Raw genomic sequence first — 5,147 nt, forward strand, 5'->3', positions numbered from 1 at the left:
TTTACCATTTCCTCTAGCTTATTAAATTTGTTGACATATAGTTTTTCATAATGGTTCCTTATGGTCCTTTTTATTTCTGAGGCATCTGTTGTAATGTTTCCACTTTCATTTTTTATTTTATTGATTTGTCTTCTATTTTATTCTTAGTCTAGCTAAGGCTTTGTGTTTTCCTTTTTTCAAAAAAAACCCCTCAGTTTTATTGATATTTTCTGTGGTCTTTACATTCTCTTTGTTTATTTCTGTTCTAGTCTTCATTATTTCCTTCATTCTGCTAACTTTTGGTTTTGTTTCTTCTTTTTTCATTCATTGAAGCATTATGTTAGGTTTTTTTTTGGGATTGTTCTTCTTTTTTAATGTGAGCTTTTATTGCTATAAAGTTCCATTTAGAACAGCTTTTCTGTATCCCATAGGCTTTGGGAAGTTGTATTTCTGTTGCCATTTGTGCCAAGATATTTTTAAATTCCCCTCCTGGTTTCTTCTATAATGCATTGGTTATCCAGGAGCATATTGTTTAATTTTTCCATATTTGCAAAATTTTCAAGATTCTTCCTGCTATTAATTTATGGTTTCATGTCGTTGTGATTGGAAATTATATTAGATATAATTTCAATCTTCTTAAATTTGTTAAGACTTGTTTTGCAGTGAACATATGGTCTATCCTAAAAAATGTTGCATGTATACTAGAAAAGAATGTGTCTTATGCTGCTTTTGGATGGAAAGTTTTGTAGATGTCTGTTAAGTCCTTTTGTTCTAACATGCAATTTGAAAAAAACTCTGAGAAAAAAGCTGAAAAACAAGTCTTCTGAAAAAAAGTCTGAGAATGATTGTTGTTTGGTTTTATTAAATTTATAAATAACTGTAGGGAGAAATGACATCCATATCATGTGGAGTTCTCTTTATGAACATGTAACACTCCTGGCTCTTAAGAACATGGTGTCTTTGCATTTGTTCTGTGTGAGTTTCAGAGAATTTTATAATTTCTCTCACACAGGTTTTGGACGTTTCTTCTAACCTGCTTTAAAAGTGTTCTTTGAATTATTGCTGTTTTGACAAGGCAGAAAATATTTCTTATTGGTTTCTTCATAAGTAGAAAATCTGAGTTTTTACTCAATCATATACTGGCTATCATACCCTAGACTACCCACAAATCTGTGATCAATTTTCCCTTTTGGAATAAAGAGAGAAGACCTTGTCTGAGATCTCAGACTGTGGTATGAGAGGAATTATACAATGCAAGTTAGTGGAATAATATTCTTCAATTCATCATTGTTAGTTCATGTATTTTATAAACAAATTTTCTTTAACATTTTCCTCTCCTAAAGCACGCAATCTTTTTTTGAGTTCCCACCTCATATTACATTGTATAAAACAAATTATCAATAGTACAGAACGTTCTGAAAAGTTGCTATAAAATAATATTAGATACAATAGGAAAATTGAGTGCATGTATTCTAAATTATATGCAATCAAATGTATATACAACATAAACCCAGCCTAATTTTGTTTGGAGAAATTGGAGTAAATGAAATTCTGTAAAAATTAACCACAGATTACAAGGCTTATAAATGGGTGTTCCTCTGAAATAAAACCACCTTCTGGAACAGGTTTTAAAATTAGCAATGTAAGTGAAATTATCATAGGCAAATAGTTGTGCTGTAACCTAAATCAATGACATTAACCATTAATATTTTACTCATTTTTTTCAAATACAACTTTACTCCTCAAGCTAAGTTTTGTCAGTGTTAGATAAGCTTTAAAACAGAAAATAGCAATTACTTTTTGTTATTTCCTTTTTCAATTGAAAATTTTTATGAGTAGCTTTTTTAGTTAAAAAGAGAAGAGTTGCAGAAAATATCTTGTTTTCCTTTCCACACTGTCAGATATATGTGACATCATAGGGCAGCACAGTCATTGTTATAAACATGGACTGTGGCATCAAAGTGCTAGGGTTCAAATCCTGACTCTGCTGCCCTCTAGTTAAGTGACTTAAATAAGTCAATTACCAAATAGATCATAGCTCTGACCTTATAGAGTTGATGTGAGGATTAAATGAGATAGTATTTTAAATGATTAGAGTGATGTTTGGCAAATAGTAAGCTGTATAATTCTTTGATATATTAAAAAGAAAAACTATGGACTCTACTGGCCTTGTCAGTATCTTGATTCAGATGAAGTTAAGTTAAAATAAATACCGAAGTGCCTTCAAGTAACGATAAGGATGAAGGGAAGAAGCAAACCAGGAAAGACACTGGCTTGAGTACACTTACCATAGTATTGGTGGATGGATACACAGGCTGCTTGTTCTATGAATCCCAGATTTCTCTATCATCTGGTGAACCTACTTTCTTCCATCTACTGGGAAATGTCTCTGAGTCTGCCCCATATAAATGGTAGGATCATACAAAGCTTGAGATGGAGCCAATCAGCTGAACTTGCTGCCTCTTAAGGAAAGCCCTGGAAGCAGAAAGAATATTAAGATCATGACTAGTAAGCAGATAGGATGTTCTATTAAGAATAGAGTTAGGCCGGGCACGGTGGCTCACGCCTGGAATCCCAGCACTTCAGGAGGCAGAGGCAGGCAGATCACCTGAGGCCAGGAGTTCGAGACCAGCCTGGCTAACATGGCGAAACCCCGTCTCTACTAAAAGTACATAAGTTAGCCGGGCTTGGTGGCAGGTGCCTGTAATCCCAGCTACTCAGGAGGCTGAGGCAGGAGACTCGCTTGAACCTGGGAGGCGGAGGTTGCGGTGAGCCAAGATCATGCCAGTGCACTCCAGCCTGGGCGACAAGAGGGAGACTCCATCTTAACAACAACAACAAAAATAATAAAATAAAATAAAAAAAGAAAAGAAAAGAAAAGAAAAATATAGAGTTAACCCTGTCTACTCATATTCTGCTTAATGGAATGAATCTTCAACCACTTCCCATTTTGTGACATTTGTTCTAAACTGATTAATGTGCTCTATTGACTGAAGCTCAATTCCATGTGCAATCTATCTTTGTAAATAGGAAATAATGAGGGTTGCCTGTCTTTCCAATTACAGTATTTTGGACTCACAGGAAAATGAGAAACAAGTCAATACAACTTAGCATCTATTTTCCAGGATTCTTTTTGATACAATACCCCAAAGTGAAACAGAACACCCCTCAAATGTAGAGATAGTTTTCTCTCCTGTGTTTCCTTTTCCAGTGTCATTAGCCTCCACTAACAACTCTGTAGTTCATGCTTGGGGAAACCATAAGGGCAAAATTAAATGGAAACTCAGGCAACTGAGTGCAATAGTACAAACGGCGTAATGAATCCTTAGGGCCATTACACAATTTTCTGTTTTCATAGAAAATTTTAAGTGTCTATGCTTGTGGAGAAGATTTAGTACATAAAGTGCTAATGCAGAGGGAAGTTAGTGGTAGAGTCAATGTAGGCAAAATGTCTACAAGTACAAACACTCGCAAAAGACTCAAAATCTACATGTGCTGTATCTGTCTTATAGTGTTCCCTTGTAAACCATTTTTGTGCATGTATTTGTTCAACACATATTTAACACCTATTCATGCATTGCACTGTTCTAGGAACTGGGGAAAGTATGGAGAACAAGGCATGGAGCTTATATTTTAATGAGGGAAAATAAAAAATTTCATAATTTTGCAATATATTTTCAGGTAGTGATCAGTGACTGAAAGACAAATATAGCAAGGTAAGTGGCCATTTTTAGATATGATAATTAGGGAAGGCTTTTCTGAGGAGAGGACATTTAAGCAGAGGCTTGAATAAAGTGGAAGAAGGAACTGAAGATTTCTGGGGAAGAGGGTTCAGGTGGGAAAAGACAGCAGGTGCAAAGGCAGGTAACTGGAGAGTGCTTGGTGCAGATGAGGAACAGGATGAAAGGCAATGTGGTTAGTGGGATGACAAGAGGTTGGAGAAGAAGCCAGGGGCCGTATTACATAGGGCTTGGTTGGCTATGACTTTATTCTTTGCATGAGTGGAAGCTGTTGGAAGTTTCTGAGCAAGGAAAGGAAATCAGCTGATTTATTATTTTAACAACTTATTGGCTTCTACTGATGAATGAAAGGCAGCAGGACAGGAGTAGAAGCGGAGGAACCAGATGGGGAATACTTACTGTTGTGCAATGACACCAGATCAGAAGAGGGACAAAGCAATTGAAGGTATGTACGTTTAGTTCCTCTTCGGTGTTCTACTTGAAGCAGGCCTCATGTGTCATTAGAGATTACATATATTTCTATTAGCAGTTTACATTTATTTCTATTGGTGCTTTACTTCTAACTGGATAGTATTGTTTTATGTGGCAAAAGACAGAAAATGGAATAAATCCCCATAAACAGAGGAATGGTTGATTAAATTTTTACCATGAATTTATATAAAATCCCCATAAACAGAGGAATGGCTGAGTAAATTCTTACCATAAATTATTATACAATCATTGGAAAGAGTGAGATAAGTGAATACTGGGAAGGACGTCCAGGATACACTTTTAAGTGAGAAAAAATGTGTATATTGTAGATATGTATACCTATAGCCTCATTTTTGAAAATCAAAGACAATTTCCAACTTCTATATATGTATCAAAATATGTATATATACATATATATGAATATATAAGCATGGAAAGGGTATACAATTATACACACGGGTTGTTAATAGATTGCCAACATTGGTTACTTGGGTAAGACTAGGTAGACATTAAGTACTTAAGTAGCATCTATGTACTTTGGTGGCAGAAACTCTGAAGTAAAAATGACACATCCCAGTACAAACCAGGTGGAATAAGCCTAGTGTGGGGCATAGGAGATGATCTAGAATTGTGTAAGAATTAGGCCTTTAGCCACAGTAATTAAGGGTTATTATCAGTTCGTTAAGGAGGGATTGGAGTTGGATCCTAAACTCCACTGTGTATCTTTTATATGTAGTTTTATACAATTATATATGAAAAAGTATGTAAAATTCTTGGTTAAAAATATTTCAGAAATAAACTAAGAAAATATTTAATTCATAATGTTTTGCATCTTTAACATATGCATGAATGCATGATATAATGTACTTTTGAGCATATTAAAGAATGAAGTGAGTAGGCACTGAATTTGGAATGGGGTGTATATGTGTTTTCAACCATTCTGAATGATCAAGTAGA

General features: G+C 34.9%; 1 annotated feature.

Annotated features, from left to right (window-relative positions):
• Positions 1,361–1,530: an enhancer, noted in NCBI's record as "experimental_85427 CRE fragment used in MPRA reporter constructs". NCBI's record gives its function as "activates a minimal promoter by MPRAs in K562 erythroleukemia cells, with activity observed for the introgressed 5:43765827 variant allele {active_cell/tissue: K562}" and the evidence as "EXISTENCE:reporter gene assay evidence [ECO:0000049][PMID:34662402]".

The sequence above is a fragment of the Homo sapiens genome, chromosome 5 (assembly GCF_000001405.40).
Source record: "Homo sapiens chromosome 5, GRCh38.p14 Primary Assembly".
NCBI lineage: Eukaryota > Metazoa > Chordata > Mammalia > Primates > Hominidae > Homo > Homo sapiens.